At 40.3% G+C, this 21,863-nt stretch overlaps 1 long non-coding RNA gene across 1 annotated transcript; it reads left to right on the forward strand.

The window, feature by feature from the left end:
• The first annotated feature begins 2,971 nt into the window (after window positions 1-2,971).
• LINC02862 (long intergenic non-protein coding RNA 2862) lies at window positions 2,972-5,929 on the forward strand. Its single transcript, NR_174956.1, has 3 exons — window positions 2,972-3,122; window positions 5,590-5,665; window positions 5,751-5,929. It is a non-coding gene; the product is annotated as a long intergenic non-protein coding RNA 2862 (long non-coding RNA).

Here is a 21,863-nt window from a genome sequence, read left to right on the forward strand (position 1 = left end):
CAGTTGGATTAGGGATTTTAGAGACTCTGTCATTTTGGACTTGTCTTATTAAAATGATGTCTCCGCCAGCTGCCGCTCTAGCAATTAAGACAGGCCTGCTTTCCACCTAGTAATGAACTCCTCCAACGGCCTTTTCTCACCAACCACCCACACCCCACTTCCTATTGCCACAGGAAGGCCTGGCCTGGGGTAGAGTGTCTAGGTTTTGGGCGTAGGGAACCATCCCACCTATATTCTATTTTTCTTTGGATTTCTCTCTCTCTCTTTTTTTTTTTTTTTTTTTTTTGCCACTAGAGTGAGATCTGGAGGAACTTCATTTAGGCCTCTGACAAAAGACACATAGGAATGTTTTCAGCCCTATGTAGTCCAGCACAATTCGCCAGGTCTAGGAATTCCAAAAAGGATTTTGGCACCAAACCCAAACAGTAATAAACAGTGTGCACAGGCCAGGCCTCACCATCAAGGCATGGATTGTGTCTCTTATGGGGAATCTAGTAGACATGGTTGTGACTGTAAGTGGTTTTTTAGGGATTTGGTGATCTTGAGTCCCGGCCTAATATCAACTCAGAAATGACTGGCATATACCCTTGGAACAGTGTAGAACTGGGGGAAAGATAATAGGCAAAATGAAGATGGAGACATCTTGTATGAATCACCATCTCATGGCGTGGAACTATCAACTTGGCTTTTCCAAATACATGATGTTCCTGAAACCTCTGAATTACATCTCTGAATATTTGGATATTTAAGCTATTTTGATGCCTTGCTTACATTTAAGCTACCTTCCAAAGCAAATTCTATCCATCCTAATTGCTTTCAAACCAATCTTGCCTTAAAAATATTCCTACAAATCAACTGGTGTTGAATATTGATATAAGTAAATACTCTCCTTTAGACTAGAAAACCAGCATGTTTCATCACCAAATTTTTAAAAAGCAATTAATCTTCTCTTACCCATATTGAATAAGAATTCACTTTAGAATTTCCTTCTCATGAGGCAGAGCTTGACATTTAACAATTCTCATGTTTCATTTTCAGAAGTAAATGAGTATGCTGCAGTTAACCTGAGAGTTGATTCATAGTTAGGAATACAGGGAGTAACGTGGGGGAAATACCTCCTTTCTTTAGCTCAGGGGAACACACTGAGTGCCTGTAAAGTTACCCACAGTGCTATCCATATCGACTAGATTGTAGTCAAGTAAGGGCATACGATCAAGGTGCCATCAGGACCTAAGCAATATTCATGATCTCTGACAATATGGATCATGCACTGAAATTCTACAATTGTCCTTAGAGAAAATCAAAAGTTTATAGCACCACTTTTACCATAGAACATTTTTTCTTTTGGAATGGGGACAAAAAAAAAAAAGAAAAAAAAAGATTCATGGAAAGGATTTGGTCTCTGAATGCAGGTGAACCTGAATTTGAATCCTAGTGTTTGTAAGCCCTGACTATGTAATTTTGCTCATGGCCTGGTGCCTAGCAGGTGCTCAACAAGTCTTTGTTTTCTCTGAAACAGATCTGTATTTGTATCCTATTTTTTTTTTTTTTTTGAGGTGGAGTCTCACTCTGTTGCCCAGGCTGGAGTGCAATGGCATGGTCTTGGCTCATTGCAACCTCTGCCTGCCTGGTTCAAGGGATTCTCCTGCCTCAGCCCCCCAAGTAGCTGGGATTACAGGTGTCCGCCACCACTCCTGGCTTTTTTTTAATTTTATACTTAGTAGAAACAGGGTTTTACCATGTTGGCCGGGCTGGTCTCGAACTCGTGACCTCAGGTGATCTGCCTGCCTCGGTCTCCCAAAGTGCTGGGATTACAGGTGTGAGCCACCGCACCTGGCCTATATTCAGCTCCTATTGTGGCTGTAACAAATTACCAAAAGCTTCAAGGCTTAAAACAACACAGATTTATTACATTTCTGAAGGTCAGAAGTCCTTCAGCGTCTTGAGCAAGGCTGTGTTTCCTCTGGGCACTCCAGAGGAGAATGTTTCCTTGCCACGGCATGGCCCCACTACTATAGCATTTTGGACGCTATAAAAAGAAAAATCTCCTAGGCCAAATTGCCTCTACATTTCATTGTAGACACAATTAACTAAATTTATTCTTCTACAGCAGTGATTTTCAAACTTTTTGGTCTCGAAACCCCTTTATACTCTTAAAAAATATTACAGACTCCGAACGGCTGTAGTTTACGCAGGCTCTATCTGTCAATATTTATCATATTTGAAATTAAGATTGGTATTACAAGAATACACGAAGAGCACAGAAGCACACATTCCATTAAGCATCGGAACAATGATATCATTACACGTTATGGAGCCACTGTAAACCCCATTCATGAAAGAATGGGAGTGAAAAAAGCAAATAACATTAGTACTACTATGAAAAGATCTTTTACCTTGCAGACCTCCTGAAATGGTTGTAGGAGTCTCTGGGCCACATTTTAAGAACTGTTGTTCAGCTGGTGTGAAAGAAGGCGCAACAGCTAAAGAAATGCCAATTCTAAATCTCTCAAAGCAATCATCATGCTGACTATGCCCAGAACAGCACAGCAGCCAGTGTGGCCTTCTGCTGATAGGAAAGACCGAGCAGTCTGACTCTATCCTTTCCCTAAAGACTCTGGCTGTGGGCAGCCTCCATTCCCTGTGGTGTTGGAATCAACCAATGAGGAGGGGAGAAAACGCTTAGAAATAGTTTGAACAATAATAGAGTCAGCAGTTATAGTTGGTTCTAACATATTTTTAAAACTGCATTGTTATGATTCTGATGATCATACACAGTGCGGGAACTACTAGCTATTTCACCTATATATGAGTAAAACATTTGGGGAAATTTCCCTCTGGTTCAGCTGGTTATGCTGTTCACGGAGGTCCTTGACATTTGCCCAGCGGAGTCATCACCTGAAACCACGGGCAGCTGAACCCTGGGAACTTGCCTCGGTGTTTATAAATACCTCAGTTGCATCAGGACCCTACAGGTGAAAGATCTTGATACCACACAGGTATAATTACAATCTGCAAACCTACTCAAGGGGAGTTGCAGGTGAAGATAAGGAAGTCAGCCTCATTCCATTACCTAATCAGATTCTCAGCCAAAGACAAACAGCAACATATGGGACTTTAAGGTGAGCAGGGAGCCGACAGCAGCGCTACTCAAAATGTGGTCCGTGATCTGCATGGCTCTCAGAATTGTTTGTTATTGGTTCATGGCAAGTAAAGCACAGAAAATGAGAGTAAGGATTTAAAACATTTGGAAAAGTTTGACAATAGTTGTGTATCTGTTGAAACTAATCATTTATAAATGTGTTTCTATTTTGCATGACTTTTTCATTTTCCATTGTTTTGCTTCTTCAGTTTTATCAAAGTATTGGTCTGTAACAAATTGTGTGTGTTTTGTTGGGGACTGATCCATCAGTAATTTGTCAAGCACTGATCTAGAGGTTAAGGCCCTTTGGTCTGTTGGTTGAAATGTAATAACTAATTTTTTTAGACAAAAGAACTGATTTTACCTGGATATGATCTTTCTTAAAGTTTATTTCAAGTTTGATTAATCTCAATGAAACTCTGAAGTCTAAATTTAATGTCAAGATTTAGATTTGGGCCGGGAGTGGTGGCTCACGTCTGTAATCCCAGTACTTAGGGAGGCTGAGGCGGGTGGATCATTTGAGGTCAGGAGTTCGAGACCAGCCTGGCCAACATGGTGAAATCCCATCATCCATCAAAAATACAAAAAATTAACCGAGCATGGTGACACACACCTGTAATCCCAGCTACTCAGGAGGCTGAGGCGGGAGAATTGCTCCAACCCAGGAGATGGCAGTTCCAGTGAGCCAAGATCGCACCAATGCATTCCAGCTTGGGAGACAGAGACTCTGTCCCCTGTCAAAATATGTATACACACACACACACACACACACACACACACGCACACACATATACATATATATACATATTTAACTGGGCATGGTGGTATACACTCGTAGTCCCAGCTACTCAGAAGGTTGAAGTGGGAGGATTGCTTAATACTGGAAGTTTGAAGCCGCAGTAAGCTATGATTGAGCTACTGCACTCCAGCATGGGTGACAGAGCAAGACCCTGTCTCAAAAAAAAAAAAAAAGCACATTTAGGTTTGACAATTTCAGGGCTAAATAACAAATTAATTAGCAGTTATTATGTTCATCAGACATAAGGCTATTTAATATCATTTCTTTTGCCTGATTGAAGGTTTCCAGGCTTTCAGGAAGCAGTACTATTTAATCAAATACCAATGGCATACTTGTGTCATGCAATGTTACGTTCCATAGGCAATAATAAAAATGCTATCAAGGAAAAAGTCAAGAGAAGTGGCTGTGGTCTAGATAAATGAAATACAATGTAATTAAGAATATGGATCAGAAAACTTAATTTTAAAAAAGCAATTTTCTTCTTTAGGTTTGTCCTATCTTTACAGTTGTATGTAAATTTTTAACATCCAGTACAGATCTCATAGTGTTATTATCGAAGCTCACAGTTGAAAGTGCTTGTTTACAAGTGTTTATCTTGCCAAACAGATAAACATTAAGGTGCCCTGTAATGGGTTTTTGTTTTGAGTTCATCCACTGATTTGTAAAATTCTGAGTGAGTAGATCCCCTGTGTAAAAGGCTTTTAAATTTGCAAGCACAGGAGTTCAATCAATTCCAATTGTTGGAGTGGGACCAACATCCTTAGGTGAAAGAAAACATTACTTGATAACTCCTTTTATCTTTTTTAAGCTGAGAAAAGCGGCAGTCTCATTCAAGTGCCAACTTCCCAATGAGAAACACACACTTTCTACTTTATCTCCAACATAAGGCAGAAAGAATAAGAGAATTCAGCAAGCAAGAGAATATTACTTTGTATGTATCTGAGTATCTGATAGCCATCATGTCAGAAACAGATCGCATATTGAAGGTTTTGCACTTCATGGATACAGCAGTTATTAAATGGACTTATTTCTCTAATCATAAAAACCAAGTCTTTATATTTCCTCCCTCATATTATAAGTATTAAAAATTTCTGTTATCTTTTCCCTGATTATAAAAGTAATACATGTTCATTACAGAAATATGTAATAAGAAAGCAAAATCATTCATAATCATACCACATTTAAATAAAGCAATCCTAATATTTGTATATACTATTTCCCATTTTTTCTATGGGTATTCATATATGGTTATATTTCTTTTCTTTTTTTATTTTTTTTTGAGACGGAGTCTCACTGTGTTGCCCAGGCTGGAGTGCAGTGGTGCAATCTCAGCTCACTGCAAGCTCCGCCTCCTGGGTTCACACCATTCTCCTGCCTCAGCCTCCCGAGTAGCTGGGACTACAGGTGCCTGCCACCACGCCTGGCTAATTTTTTGTATTTTTAGTAGAGATGGGTTTTCACCATGTTAGCCAGGATGGTCTCGATCTCCTGACCTCGTGATCCACCTGCCTTGGCCTCCCAAAGTGCTGGGATTACAGGCATAAGCCACCGCACCCAGCTCATAAATGTTTATATTTCTACATAGCTGAGATAATAATGTATGCATTAGTGTGAATCTTATTTTTTTGTTTGTTTGCTTTTGAGACAGGGTCTTGCTCTGTCACCCAGGCTGGAGTTCACTGGCATGATCATGGCTCACTGCAGCCTCCATCTCCTGGACTCAGGTGATCCTCCCACCTCACCCTCTGGAATAGCTGGGACTTCAGGCATGTACCACTACGCCCAGCTAATTTTTTTTATTTTTTGTAGAGACGGAGCTTCACCATGTTGCCCAGGCTGGTCTTGAACATCTGGACTCAAGTTATCTGTCACCTTGGCCTCCCAAAGTGCTGGGATTACAGGCATGAGCCACAGCACCTTGCTTATTCTTTTGTTTGCTATTAAAATATAAGCATTTTCTAGTCAATAAAAATTAACCAAGAACATAATTTGCAATGGCTGCATAATATTCTGTTATATTGAAGTTATAATAGATGTGAGGAGTTTCCTATTGCTGAATATTTACTTTTTCTAGAGGTTAAGAAGAGCTTTTAGAGTCAGAAAGACTTGACTTGTTGACTCTAAAGTCCTGGCTGGTGGTGGGTGCAGTGACTCACGCCCATAATCTCAACACTTTGGGAGGCCGAGGTGGGTGGATCACTTGAGGTCAGGAGTTTCCGACAAGCCTGGTCAACAGGGTGAAACCCTGTCTCTGCTAAAAATATAAAAATTCTGGGTGTGGTAGTGCATGCCTGTAGTCCTAGCTACTTGGGAGGCTGAGGTATGATAATTGCTTGAACCCAGGAGGTGGAGGTTGCAGTGAGGCAAGATTGCACCACTGCACTCCAGCCTGGGAGACAGAACGAGTCTTTGCCTTAAAAAAAAAAAAAAAAAAAAAAAATATATATATATATATATATATATACACACACACATACATAAAGTCCTGGGCCAGGCGCGGTGGTGGCTCATGCCTGTAATCCCAGTACTTTGGGAGGCCGAGGCAGGTGGGTCACTTGAGGTCGGGGTTTGAAACCAGCCTGACCAACATGGTGAAATCCTGTCTCTACTAAAAAAAAAAAAAAAAAAAAAAAAATTAGCTGGGCATGGTGGCATGTGTCTGTAATCCCAGTTACTCTGGAGGCTGAGGCAGGAGAATCGCTTGAACCTAGGAGGCAGAGGTTGCAGTGAGCAGAGATTGTGCCACTGCACTCCAGTCTGGGCCACAGAGCAAGACCCTGTCTCAAACAAACAAACAAAAGAAAAAAAGTCCTGGCTGGCTCTGCCACTTATTAGCTATGTGACTTTAGTCAAGTTACGTACTCTCTCTAAAGTGCAATTTTCTCATCTGTAAAAATTGGGATTATTATACAAGCTACTTCATAGGGTGGTTGTGATAGTAAATAAAGATTATGCATATAAAACAGTGCATCACAGTGTCTGACTTTTCTCAGTAAATGTTAATTATTTTGATACTGTGATAAATATCTTAGCTCATACAGCTTTGGTCTAGTTTTATGAAATTATTTAATTTAGAAAATGCCAAGAAGACTTGAAATAAACATAGAGATCTATATTTTAAAGATTATTTTTCAGCTTTCAATTTGACCAAGAGAATAACGACTGTTAGATTCCTGTAAGCAAACTATTAGGTTGCTGCAAAAGTAATTGCGGTTTTTGACCTTGAAAGTTATGGCACAAACCGCAATTACTTTTGCACCAACATAATAAGACAGCATGGAAAAGTTTGGATTTAAATGATGGAAGAACAAAAGCATTTTATGAATGTCTACTTCACTTGGAATTATTCATATTCCTCAGATGTGTTAAAAATTGAAAGATGAGGCCAGCGTGGGAGGCTAACGCCTGTAATCCCAGCACTTTGGGAGGCCGAAATGTGCGAATCACGAGGTCAGGAGATCGAGACCATCCTGGCTAACCCGGTGAAACGCCGTCTCTACTAAAAATACAAAAAAATTAGCCAGGCGTGTTGGCGGGCGCCTGTAGTCCCAGCTACTTGGGAGGCTGAAGCAGGAGAATGGCGTGAACCCAGGAGGCGGAGCTTGCAGTGAGCCGAGATCCCGCCACGGCACTCCAGCCTGGGCGACAGAGCGAGACTCTGTCTCAAGAAAAAAAAAAAAAATTGAAAGATGACTGGTTCACTTAGTGAAAGATAGAAAAAAGGAAGGAGGGGAAGGAGGGAAGGAAAACGGGAGGAAGGGAGGGAAGGAAGGAAGGAGGGAAGAAGGGAGGGAGGGAAGGAAGGAAGGAGGGAAGGAGGGACGGAGGGAAGGAGGGAGGGAGGGGAGGGGAAGGGAAGGGAGGTGGAAAGGGAAGGGGAGGGAAGGAAGGAAAGGGAAGGGAGGGAGGGAGGAAGGAGGGAGGGAGGGAAGGAAAGAAGGAAGGAAGGGAAGGAAGGAGGGAAGGAAGGAGGGAAGGAAGGAAAAAAGAAAGGAAAGGAAAAGGAAGGAAGGAAGAAAGGGAAGGAAAGAAGGAAACACTTTGCACAAGTCTTCCAAGAAATTAAACCTTTAGTATGCATTGCTCTGACCTGCCCAGGTTCACCATCCATTTTCACCTTTTCCCCTTTGTTCATCTGTTACTCCACAACTAACCTAGAAAAGTAGCTGCTGATGGCCAGTCTTCTGTAGAGGTGATGACTGTACTGAAAAATACTTTCATATTCACAAATCTGTTTGTTCCTTATATCACCAAAGATGAGAGAGAGGAAAAGAGAGGAGAGGAGAACCTGAGACATGCTTATGCGTGCTATGGACTGAATCATGTCCCCTCAAAATCTCTATGTCAAAGCCCTAACCCCCAACATGACTATATTTAGAGACAGGGTTTTTAGAAGGTAATTAAGGCTAAAGGAGGTCATATAGGCTCCTAATCCCATAGAACTTAAAGCTTTATGAGAAGAGAAAGACAGAGGAAAGAGTTCTTATTTTCTCTCTTCATATATGTGCACCAAGGAAAGGCCAGTGTGGGGCACAGTGAGAAGCTGGCTGGCTGCAAGCCAGGAAGAGAGTCCTCACCAAAACTCAGTCATGCTGGCATCCTGTTCTCAGACTTCCAGCTTTCAGAACTGTGAGAAAATAAATTTATGTTGTTTTAGGAACCTAGTCTGTGGTATTTTGTTATGGCAGCCCAAGCAGACTAAAACAACATATGCAACCAATTTTACAATCTTAAATACATGACTTCTGAAGTTCTAATCAATATTCTTATAAGTATATTTAAGAAGGCACTCCTTATATAGAGACAGGGGTAAAACAAACTATGATAATTATCCAAATCCATTTACTTTCAAAAACATCTGAAACACTGGTAAGCAATACAAGTTGCTGATCCTAAAATCAATTAATTACATTTTCCATTATTCCTAGTAATAAACTACTAAGAATTTATATGAATAAACTAGGAATAAACTAATAAATATTCCTAGGAGTAAACTAGGAAATTATTATTCCTAGTAATAAACCTAACACAAATGTATACATATGTGCACCCAAAAAAATGCACAAAAATATTGATAACCAAAAACAGAGAATGTATTCCATTAGAATACACATGTATTAAATGAATAATCTTTCTTCAAGTTCATTCTTGATGGTAAAGAATTTTCAGGCTTGGTGCAGTGGCTCACACCTATATTCTCAGCATTTTGGAAGGCTGAGGCGGGCAGATCACTTGAGGTTAGGAGTTTGAGACCAGCCTGGCCAACATGGTGAAACCTCGTCTCTACTAAAAATACAAAAATTAGCCAGGTGTGGTGGTATGCGCCTATAATCCCAGCTACTTGGGAGGCTGAGGCAGGTGAATCGCTTGAACCCAGGAGGTAGAGGTTTCAGTGAGCCAGGATCGTGCCACTGCACTCTAGCCTGGCCAACAGACTGATTGAGACTGTCTCAAAAAACATAATTTTTAAAAAGTGTAATTTTCCTTCTATTTACATTTTTAAAAGAGCTTGGGCAATGAAGTTTATAATGACAAGTGTAGCAGCTAATCCCCAAGATGGCCCTTGTGTAGTTTCCTTCCCATATTCAGTAAGGCTAACCTGTGTAGCCAATGGGATACTGGGAAAATGATGTAGTATGGCCTCTAAGGCTAGGTCATAAAATGCATTGCAGCTGCTACCTTGCTTTCTCTTGGGTCACTCACTCTAGTGGATGCCAACCACCGTGTTGTGAGGACACTCAAGCAGCTCTGTGGAGAGGGCCATGTGGTAAGGACCAGAGGCCTCCTGCCAACAGCCAGCATCAACTTACCAGCCATGTGAGTCGGCCATCTTGAAGCAAGTCCTCCAGCCCCTCTCAAATGCCCCAGCTGGCATCTTGACTGTTAACCTCATGAGAGATCCTGAGCCAGAATGACCTAATGTGCCCCCGGATTCTTCACCTTCAGGAAATTTATGCTATCATAAATGTTTATTATTGTTTGAAGCCAGTAAGTTTTGGAGTAATTTGCTCTGTGTGCAGTGATAAATAGATAACTAAAACAACTGATGCTGGTACAGTTACAGCATAGTTCATCTCTCCCAAGTAAAACTTTACTTATTTCATGACGTATATGAAGAATTTAGAAAAATAAATTTAAAAAATCAACTTTGGGGTCAGGTAAGGATATTTAAAATCTAGCACTTCACAAGCACATCCCAAAAGAGTATATTCAAGTAGTATGTAAGTATATAAAAGGATACTTAACCTCATTAGCCATAGGGTATTCAAATTAAAACAACAATGAGACTGGGCATGGTGGCTCACGCCTGTAATCCCAGCACTTTGGGAGGCCGAGGCAGGTGGATCACCTGAGGTCAGGAGTTCAAGACCAGCCAATGTGGTGAAACCCTGTCTCTACTAAAATACAAAAATTAGCTGGGCATGATGGTTGGTGCCTATAACCCCAGCTACTCGGGAGGCTGAGATGGGGGAATCACTTGAACCCCGGAGATGGTGGTTGCAGTGAGCCAAGATTGTGCCACTGCACTCCAGCCTGGGCAGCTGAGCGAGACTCTTGTCTCAAAAAAAAAAAAAGAAAAGAAAAAAAAAAGAAAACAACAACGAGAAAAACTGTTCACCCACCAGAGGGCTAGAATAAAAAATAATGATAACATTTAGTGCTGGTAAGGATATGAGGCAAATGAAACTCTCATATACTGCTGAAGATTGTGTACAATCACTCTGGGGAATTATTTGGCAGTACAGGAGGTACTAAAGCTAAACTGCATACACCTTGTCACATAACCATTCCACTTCTAGTAGTAAACCCAACAGAAATGTATACACATGTGCACCAAAAAAGTACAAAAATATTGATAGCCAAAAACAGAGAATGATCTGTATGTCCAATAGCAGTAGAAAGGATAAATTGGGATGTGTTCACACAAGAAATACTGTATAGCAATGAGAAATAAACAAATTACAGATATTTCCAGCAATAATAATAGATTTCACATATGTAATATTGAGTGGAAAAAAGCTGTTTTTTAAAACAAAAAGTGGGGGCCGGGTGCGGTGGCTCATGCCTGTAATCCCAGCACTTTGGGAGGCTGAGGCGGGCAGATCACCTGAGGTTGGAAGTTCGAGACCAGCCTGACCAACATGGAGAAACCCCATCTCTACTAAAAATACAAAATTAGCCGGGTGTGGTGGCGCATGCTTGTAATCCCAGCTACTCAGGAGGCTGAGGCAGGAGAATGGCTTGAACCCAGGAGACAAGCTGAGATGGTGTCATTGCACTGCAGCCTGGACAACAAGAGTGAAACGCCATCTAAAAAAAAAGGAGGGGGGGTACATAGTATGTAATTCCATTCATATAAAGTTCAAAAGCAGGCAACACTAATTTATGGTGATGGAAATCAGGATAATGGTCACCTTTGAAGAGGAGGAGGAAGCAACTAAGATATGACATAGGGTGGGGAGCTTTTGGATGTTGATAATAATCTATTTCCTCATTTGTCTGCTGGTTATGCAAGTGTGTTCACTTGCTGGATATTCCTTCAGATGTATACTTATGATTTGTGCCCTTGTCTGTATGTATGTTATTCTCAGACAAAAAGTTTACCAAAAAAAAAAAAAAAAAAACACTCAACATGGTAAGGAATAAACCCCAATTTTCTCATTTTCATGGTTGAACTCTCATTAGGTGGGAGAGTGCTCTTGTTGTTAGAAGCTACATACTGAATTGTCAAAAGGTAATAGGGCACGTTTGTAATTCTCAAATGGCTTAGGGGTAAAAATATAAAATATGTGTTATATATGAATATATAATATACATGATACATCTGTGGAATGAATATATATGTGTGTGTGTGTGTGTGTGTGTGTGTGTGTGTATAGAGAGAGAGAGAGAGAGTGCCAATGATGAAGCAAATATGTTTTTTTTTCTTTTAAATTGCCAGGTGCGGTGGCATGCACCTGTAATCTCAGCTACTTGGGAGGCTAAGGCAGGAGGATCACTTGAGTCCAGGAGTTTGAGACCAGCCTAGGCAACACAGTGAGATGCTGTCACACACACACAAAAAAAACCCAAACAGGTCAGGTGCAGTGGCTCACACCTGTAATGCCTGTAATCCCAGCAATTTGGGAAGCCGAGGTAGGTGGATCACCTGAGGTCAGGAGTTCGAGACCAGCCTGGCCAATGTAAGGAAATGCTGTCTCTACTAAAAATACAAAAATTAGTCAGGTGTGGTGGTGCGTGCCTGTAGTCCAGGTAACTGGGAGGCTGAGGAACGAGAATCGCTTGAATCCAGGAGGCAGAGGTTGCAGTGAGCCAAGATCATGCCAATTTGATCGTTCCAAAACAATTGAGGAGTTTGAGTGAAGGGTATGTGAGAGTTTATTGTGTTTTTCTTGTATTTTTTCTGAAACTTTGAAACTCTTTCAAAATAATTAAAACGTATTTTAAAAACACCTGTTAGCTGGGTGTGGTGGCACACAACTGTAGTCTTAGCTACTCAGGAGGCTGAGGCAGGAGGATTTCTTGAGTCCAGAAGTTGGAGGGTTTAAAAAAAAAATCCAACTGTTCCACTTACTAACTGTATTTCCATGGGCAAATGGTGAACTTCTCTATGTCTCAGAAGACTCTTCTCTTAAGTGGGGATATTAGATCAGGAATGCTGGCTCACACCTATAATCCGAGCACTTTGGGAGGCCAAGGTGGGACGATCACTTGAGCCCAGGAGTTTGAGGTTACAATGAGCTATGGTTGCACCACTGCACTCCAACCTCAGTGACAGAGCAAGACCTCGTCTCCAAAAAAAAAAAAAAAAAAAAAAGAGTGGGGATATTAATATCTACCTTTCAGGACTATTCTAATGATTTGACAAAATAATAGAAATAATAGGTAACAGTTATATAACTTGCCCTAGGTCACACACCTAGTTTTTTGTTGTTGTTGTTAGTTAGTTAGATTTTGTTTTTGTTTTTGTTTTGAGACAGAGTCTTGCTGTGTTACCCAGGCTAGAGTGCAGTAGTGCGATCTCGACTCACTGCAACCTCCCCCTTACCAGTCAAGTGACTCTCCTGCCTCACCCTGTTAAGTTGCTGGGACTACAGGCGTACACCACCACGCCCAGCTAATTTTTGTATTTTTAGTAGAGATGGGGTTTCGCCATGTTGGCCAGGCTGGTCTCGAACTCCTGACCTCAGGTGATTCACCCGCCTTGGCCTCCTAACGTGCTGAGATTACAGTCGTGAGTCACCACGCCCAGCCCACAGACCTAGCTTTTATGAGCCAGGATTTAACCCAGGAATTCTGACTCCAAAACCTACACTCTCATCTAATGCACAAATCAATCAAGTGAATGTCACGTAGCAGGCCATTAGTGGTACCTAGAATGATGACAATGCTTGTATTAGTTTCCCAGGGTTGCTGTGACAAAATATCACAAACTGGCTGGCTTAAAACAATACTTCTGCAGGGCAGAAGTACAAAATCAAGGTGCTGCCCGTGGTATCCAGCCTTTGATGCTTCTTGGGAAGGATCTTTCCTTGCCTCCTACACTTATTGTAGTCTCAGGTTTGCCTTGGCTTGATGGCAACATAATTCCATTCTGTGCCTCTGCCTTAATGTGGCTTTCTTGTGTGTGTGTGTGTGTGTGTGTGTGTGTGTGTGTGTGTGTATCTCCGTGTCTCTTCTCCCCTTCTTATAAGGACACCAGTCATATTGGGTTCTGGCCCTCTGTAATTCAGTATGACCTTGTCTTAATTTGAGTACATCTGCAAACACCTTATTTTTAAACGAAGTCACATTCACGGGTACTGGGGATTAGGACCTCAATATATCTTTTGGGGGAACACAATTCAACCAATAACAATGCTTACGAACTTTCTGCCCTTTTCTTGCCAAATAGAAATAAGTTTAACTGGAAGGACTCCCCTTGGGAAGAGAGGAGACGAAGCTTGGACATGAAAAAAAAAGAAAAAAGAAAAAAGAAATCGCTTCATGGCTCGTCCCTCTGCTTAAAGATGGGGAAATTAAGATGCTGCATTTTGTTCTCAGAAACATGGTCATTTCAAAGTTCATCCAGATCCTTCAGTGTTAAAGGGTACTGACCAAGGGCAGATGGCTCAACAGTGCTTGAAAAAGGCCCAGGTTAGAGGAATAATGAAGGGTTATCAATGACCACTCAGGGTAATAAATGTAAAGTGTCACATACACCTGAGCAGGGGACCCTGGAAAATTATGTTATATCTAGGTAAAAGTTTCTCTTCCTCTCTGAAAAGTACCTTTGCTTGGGGGGAATATAAGTATCTATGTAAGTATTGGATTTGAGAGTTGGAAGTTTCTAATGAGAGAGTATATCGCCACTTAACATTGGAGCAGGGGTGGGAAAGACAGAATCAAGGAGATTTGACTTGGAGTCTAGTGTTCATCTTACACCATCATTTGGAAGCCCTCAGGGATGATATTCTACCTTCAATAACTTAGATTTTCAGAAATGTCATGCTGTGAATTATTATGTCTAGAGGAAGATCAGACACATCCCTGTGAAGAGGGAAGTGATTTTCCCAAAAGGGAATTCGAGGCTCAGTGTCGGTATGAGTAAGAAAGCAATTACTGAGAAATGCAGGATTGAGGGCAGGAGATCAAGGAAAGAAACTGAGTTTTATACACAAAGGGAATTATTCTCAAAGGTTCTAACTTTTGGGAGCTCTCCCTTTGGGCAATGGGAATAATGACATGTAGCATGCACTTTATTATTTTTTGCAAGTCATAATTCTGTTTACTCTCAGCATGGTAGGTGAATCAGATACATCTCTACAGTCTAGTGTGGGATGGGCATGGAATTAAAGGACGGAGTAACAAAGGGAAATGTGGTTGGATGTTGCTTCCTCTGCATCCAATCATGGGAAGCCTCTTTTCTGGGATAGGTAAGTATTGTTAGCATCAAAAAAAGCAGTGATCAGTCCCAAAGCAGAACAACACGAGATAGGGAAGAGCACAAGGCCAAGAAAGGCAACGCTCACCGGGATTACCCAGGAGCTGGTGTAAAATAAACCCATTTCCTTAATATTCTATGAAAAAGTGATTTTAAGAGATCTATGTGTAGGGAAAGGGAGTTTGATGACATAAGTGTAAAAGCTTAGCCAAGAAAACCCCACCACTTCACCATTTACCGTTTCATAGCATATATTCACATTTTTATAACTTGTATTAAGAAAAATTACCAGGCCAGATACAGTGGCTCATGCCTGTAATCCCAGCACTTTGGGAGGCTGGGGCAGGTGGATCACCTGAGGTCAGGAGTTCAAGATCAGCCTGACCAACATGGAGAAACCTCATCTCTCCTAAAAATACAAAATCAACTGGGCGTGGTGGCAGGTGGCTGTAATCCCAGCTACTTGGGAGGCTGAGGCAGGAGAATTGCTTGAACCCAGGAGGCGGAGGTTGCAGTGAGCCGAGATCACGCCATTGCACTCCAGCCTGGGCAACAGAGAGAGACTCCATCTCAAAAAAAGAAAGAAAAATTACCAGAAATTTTGAGAAAAGGAAAAACAATGATTCTGTTATTTTTAAATATTATGAAAATAAATTCACCTTGGGGCTATGTGACTTACTATTCACTACCAATTAGGATGTGAAATCTGTGAAGTTGGATGTTTAACTTGGAGAAACTGATAACTGCAAATGATTTGAAAGAAAGAAGAATCCACCTTTCTTTCCTTTCTTTATTCTTCAACTTTTCACTTCTCAAAGAAGAAGAGACAGACATATAATGTCTGTCCAAAAGAGAAACTAACTCTGAAGGTTATGGTTTATTGCCATGTAGAAACATTAATTAGATTTGCAAATAATTTAACAATCTAATTTCTGTTTTTATTTATTGTTTTACTTAACGTATATATCAGTCTGATATCCTTACTTGCACTGGTTTTGTTAACTTCCTGGTTAAATAAAAGTTTAATTCATGCTAACATCTTGTATACAAATTACACTTATATTTTGAAATTATACATTAATGCCTGCATAACTTGTAGAAAATCATATCAAAGGACATATGCTTTCCATCTTTAGCCTGGTTTGTTACAGATTGAGTGGGAAAAAGGAGAAGGGCAGGAAGAAAACATTTCAGGAAGTATATTTGTAGTTTGAAGAAGCAAACTTAATATTATAATATTTTAAATTTGACTGCCATGAATAAGCTTCATAGATGTACTTTAGCTGCTGGGAATATGTAGGTGATAGCAATGATTTTCAGTAGGAGCAGGAGAATTTTATGTTAATTAAAAAAGCAGTTATGGATTCAAAAAAATTGCAAAACATTCCTTTAGGAAATTGTTCGGTATTGTAAACCTGAAAGCATGATGCAATATTCTGTTTATATTTGCTTTATTTTTAAAATGTAAATAAAACAAAATGTGCTTGCCACAAATATACTTCAAGACTTTATCTTTTGGTGTACTATAAATGAGAATTTTGTAGTTACTGTGATGTGTGACCAATTAACTCAGCTTGTTATTTACTGTTCTAATGAGGCCAAAGCCTTGGATCGATCCCCAAATGATCAAGCTAGTCATGCTGTGTCATAGTCATAAGAAGGACCTGATAAGTGAGAATCTCGATGAAATAGCACAAATCCATTGGCCCCAAAGCAACTGCAGTTGTATACCCCAAAGTTCACACGTTGGTCACATTCTTTATCATGGTACGGCAGCTACGGAAACATGTTAAACCTGGAGCTGATGATAACCAATGATTTCTTTCTTGTGCTTTTTATTCTTTTTTAAAAAATGAATGAAAGATAAGAATGTTCATCATCAAATTTCATAGAATGCTTTAGTTTTAATAATCCATTCACCAGGACACAAGGAATCAGAGGTGTGTGAAAATTTAAAATAGGATGATCAGGCCCGGCGCGTTGGCTCAAACTAGTAATCCCAGCACTTTGGGAGGCCAAGCGGGGGTGCATCACCTGAGGTCAGGAGTTCGAGCCCAGCCTGGCCAACATGGCGAGACCCTGCCTTTACTAAAAACACAAAATTAGCAGGGCATGGTGGCAAATGCCTGTAATTCCAGCTACTTGGGAGGCTGAGGCAAGAGAATTGCTTGAACCTGGAAGGTGGAGGTTGAGTGAGCCGAGATCACGCTACTGCACTCCAGTCTGGAAGACAGAGCGAGACTCCATCTCAAAAAAACAAAATAAAACAAAAAACAAACAAACAAAAAAAACAGAAATAGGGTGGTCAGAGCAGACATCGCCAAGAAAGTACCATTTAAAGAAAGCAAGTGAATTAGCCATACAAGTGTCTGGAGAAAGCACTGTTTGACCAGAAGGGGCAGTCACTGTGTAGTTTTTAGGTGGGTGTGAGCACAGGGAGTCCATCTTTCTTTCTTTGTTTCTTTCTTTCTCTTTCTTTCTTTCTTTCTTTCTTTCTTTCTTTCTTTCTTTCTTTCTTTCTTTCTTTCTCTTTCTTTCTTTCTTCCTTTCTTTTCTTTCTTTCTTCTTTCTTTCTTTCTCTCTCTCTTTCTTTCCTCCTTTCTTCCTTTCCTTTCTTTCTTTCTTTCCTTTCTTTTCCTTCCTTCCTTTCTCTCTCTCTTTCTTTCTCTTTTTTTTGAGACGGAGTCTCGCTCTGTCGCCCAGGCTGGAGTGCAGTGGCGCGATCTCGGCTCACTGCAAGCTCTGCCTCCCGGGTTTGCACCATTCTCCTGCCTCAGCCTGCCTGCAATCCTGCCTTCCTTCCTTCGTTCCTTTCTTCCTTTCTCTCTCTTTCTTTCCTTCCTTCCTTCCTTCTTTCTCTTTCTTTCTTTTTCTTTCTTTTCTTTCTTTTTCTTTCTTTCTTTCTTTCGTTCTTTCTTTCTTTCCTTCCTTCCTTTCTTCCTTTCTTTCTTTCTTCTTTCCTTTTCTTTCCAATGGAGTCTTGCTCTGTTGCCCACACTAGAGTGCACTGACATGATCTCAGCTCACCGACCTCACTCCTAACCTCAGGTTGTCAGCCCACCTCAGCCTCTCAAAGTGCTGGGATTACAGGTGTGAGCCACTGTGCCTGGCCTATAAATCTTAAATTGTCCTTTTTGTCCCTTTTTACTCATCTTTAGGAAGGTATAATTGACAAATAAACATTGTATATACTTGTGGTATAAAATAAGTAAATAAAATTTGAAAAACAATTCACCAAAATATTAATTAATAATATCAGGTAAGCTAGATCTTCTCTTGTATAGAAAAATTGTTTGTGCTCTGTCACTTGTTATAAGTTGTAGCTTTATCTGACACTTACCTACCCTCAGGCTTCTTTTTAACTCACTCTGACTTATTTGTCTTATCCAGAGATTGTGGATTCCCTGTCATCAAAGCAGTCTAAAGGGTGTTAAAACACCTGCGGCCCTTATTTCTTTGCCATAGGCTTTAGGTGACTTAAAAAAAAATAGTACTGTCCTCTCACTGTCTAAGGACTACCTTCCTTAGTATCTTTACATAAGGAAGAAATTGGTTTTTCTGTTTTATCTGACAAAAGAGAGAGATATGAGGGAGAGACTGAATTCTTTCTTGAAACAGAAATATTCCTATCTCTTATCAAGTATTTTGATTGTTTAATTTCCTACACTAAGTCCAACAGGATTTTATACCAAAAGCAGTAGCTTCCCTAAAGTCTACTTGGTAGTTGTTCGTTGCCAAAGTCTATTCTCTCTTAAAGAGATCATATTTTTTCAAGCAACATTTTATACACATTCAACTGAGAGAAGCTTCTCTCAGAGGCTTTGCGAATGTATCAGGCAATTTTCTCACTCATGATATGTGCTTCTGTGTGACACATGAAGCAAAATACTAATGTTATTCTTTTACTCTATCTTTTTGCAGTGCTTCCATGATTTTTATTTTTTTATTTCTTCTTTCTATAACTAGACTCAGATTCCAGAATGTCTATTTTTAAATTCATACTTGCTACATGCTTTCATGGTAGATTATTTGCATATCCCCAAGAAGAGTTTGTCAAGGGATCATTTCAGTAATTTGTTTTAGAAAACAATAGGAATACTGCATTTAAAAAAATGTGTTGCCAAACTTCACCATCAGTACACCCACAGGATAAACACACTCTGTGTGAACTGGACATGCCCCTTGAAAATCTACACTCCAAATGAGTACATTACAACTATGGTGCAATGAGTGATTTTCCCCAAGGTACCATGCTCATTGGTTTCCACAGGACAGGCAACCTAGCAGGGCATTCCCTCCATGAGGTTATGAAAACACGCTGTGCTCCTGTAGACCCACACACAGCACCCTCCCCATTGTACTTATTGCCAAACACTGGGCTTCCTAATCACTTTGTGTTCAGTCAGAGATCCAGGAAATCCAAACCCAGCCAGAAAAATGCACAACAGCTCAGCATAAGCAGCTTTAATAGGAGCTTAAGGAAGCTTCCATTGCTCCCATCCTGGAAAAGCATGTGTTGTAGCAGAAAGAGCACAAGCTCTAGCAATGGACAGGCCTCAGGTCATATCCTGGATCTGGCTGGGTTGCTGGGTTACGTGCTGGGTTGTCTCAGATAAGGTCAAGTCTGAGCTTCATTTCCATATTTTCTTATCTTCGTAAAATGGAAATTATCATCATACTATCTACAGTGGAACCCACTGGTCAAAAGCCATTGCCAGGTCTGCCAGTGTTAATTTCAAGTGGAAAGTCTGAAAGATTACTGCAGACAGTTTATGTACTGGAATCTTTTTGGCTTAAGCCACTTCTCCAGTGGTTATTAACATTATGCCCTATTTTCCTCTCTAGCTACACTCTAGAACCCAGGAACCTAGTTCTGCATCCTCTCCACCAAAGCATGTTGAGAATCCTTTTGTATTTAGCTGCTTGGATACTAGAAGAGGATCGAAATTCTAGCCCAGTAATTCTTTTCCTAGCTCTTCCTTCAATATCATCAAAGCGGATTCAACATGTAAGGAAAGTTCAACTCTGTTATTTTGTTAGAGAAGATATAATAAGTTAAAATCACTTCACATATAAAATTTATGGTATGTTGGATGGTGATAAGGCTTTATATAGAGGAAATTGTGCAAGGAAGGGAAAGAAAATGCAGGAGAATGTAAAGCGGTTTTGCAAATACTTTAATAACTAACTCTCTTCTTCAAGTCTTTCTTTAAATATCATCTTAATGAGGTCACCCTGATAACCAGATTTTTTTTTTTTTTTTTTTTTAGATGGAATCTTGCTCTTTCACCCAGGCTGGAGTGCAGTGGCGCGATCTCGGCTCACTGCACCCTCTGCCTCCTGGGTTCAGGCCATTCTCTTGCCTCAGCCTCCCGAGTAGCTGGGACTACAGGCGCCCGCCTTTAGTCCTGATTAGACATGGAGTACGACAGAAAGATGTTTAGGGTGACTTCAAGGTATTTCACAGAAGCAGTGGTTGAATATAGGTCTCATCAACTAGATGTAATGGCTGTGGGAGGCATTCTTGAGGGAATAGAACTAAGTGTTGGGAATCAACACATTTCTTCCAAATTCCCCCAACACACACACACACACACACACACACCACACACACACACACACACACACATCCCACATCACCTCTGTCAAGGAGTGAAGCTGCAAAGGTAAGGATTAAATTCTAAACCCCAATATTTAACCATCCTTTGAACTTAGGCTGCTTGGCAATAGCATTTCTCCACTTTTTTTTATGTGCTTGTTTCCCTAGACTGATAACATTGAGGACCTACAGCAGTCATAGATATTTCGAGCTAAATGACCCTTTATAAATCATTCTAGCATGGTACTTACCACACAAAATTGAATTTCCACATCCAATCAAAGATGCCATTGATTGTAATATGCACCATTATTTTTTGCATTGCTAAGAAAGAAAAAGCAGCCATTTGAAATATGATTGATATTTTCTTATTTATCTATGACTTACTTGGACATAGATTTTTAAAAATTCATATACTCATGCATATGTAAAAAGGAAAATATAAGCAAAGTATTTCTAAAATGTTTTCCTTTATTAGGTTATTAATTACATTTTATTCAATGTTATAAAGGCCTCACTTACACAACTAGAGTTAGAACATTATGCCCCTAATTAGTATTAGTTCATCAATTTCATCAATAAATTATAGGAAACATGGATTAGACAAACTAGTTCAACCATTGTGGAAGTCAGTGTGGCAATTCCTCAGGGATCTAGAACTAGAAATACCACTTGACCCAGCCATCCCATTACTGGGTATATACCCAAAGGATTATAAATCATGCTGCTATAAAGACACATGCACATGTATGTTTATTGCGGCACTATTCACAATAGCAAAGACTTGGAACCAACCCAAATGTCCAACAATAGACTGGATTAAGAAAATGTGGCACATATACACCACGGTATACTATGCAGCCATAAAAAATGATGAGTTCATGTCCTTTGTAGGGACATGGATGAAACTGGAAACCATCATTCTCAGCAAACTATTGCAAGGACAAAAAACCAAACACCGCATGTTCTCACTCATAGGTGGGAATTGAACAATGAGAACACTTGGACACAGGAAGGGGAACATCACACACTGGGGCCTGTTGTGGGGTGGGGGGAGGGGGGAGGGATAGCATTAGGAGATATACCTAATGTAAATGACGAGTTAACGGGTGCAGCACACCAACGTGGCACATGTATACATATGTAACCAACCTGCACGTTGTGCACATGTACCCTAAAACTTAAAGTATAATAAAAAAAAGAAAAGAGAAAGTAGAAAATAGGCAAGAAATTGAGAGAAAATAGAAAACAGGTTTTGCCTGTCCTGCTACCAAATTATGTTTAAGTCTAAAACCTATTTTAGATCCACCATTAAAACTAGATAGACTAGCTTTAGTCAGTTTGGGTTGTAAATAAAGCATGCATAATTGTATGAAAGCCTTTGGGCCCTGCAACTTCC

The sequence above is a fragment of the Homo sapiens genome, chromosome 2 (assembly GCF_000001405.40).
Source record: "Homo sapiens chromosome 2, GRCh38.p14 Primary Assembly".
In the NCBI taxonomy this organism is placed as follows: Eukaryota; Metazoa; Chordata; class Mammalia; order Primates; family Hominidae; genus Homo; species Homo sapiens.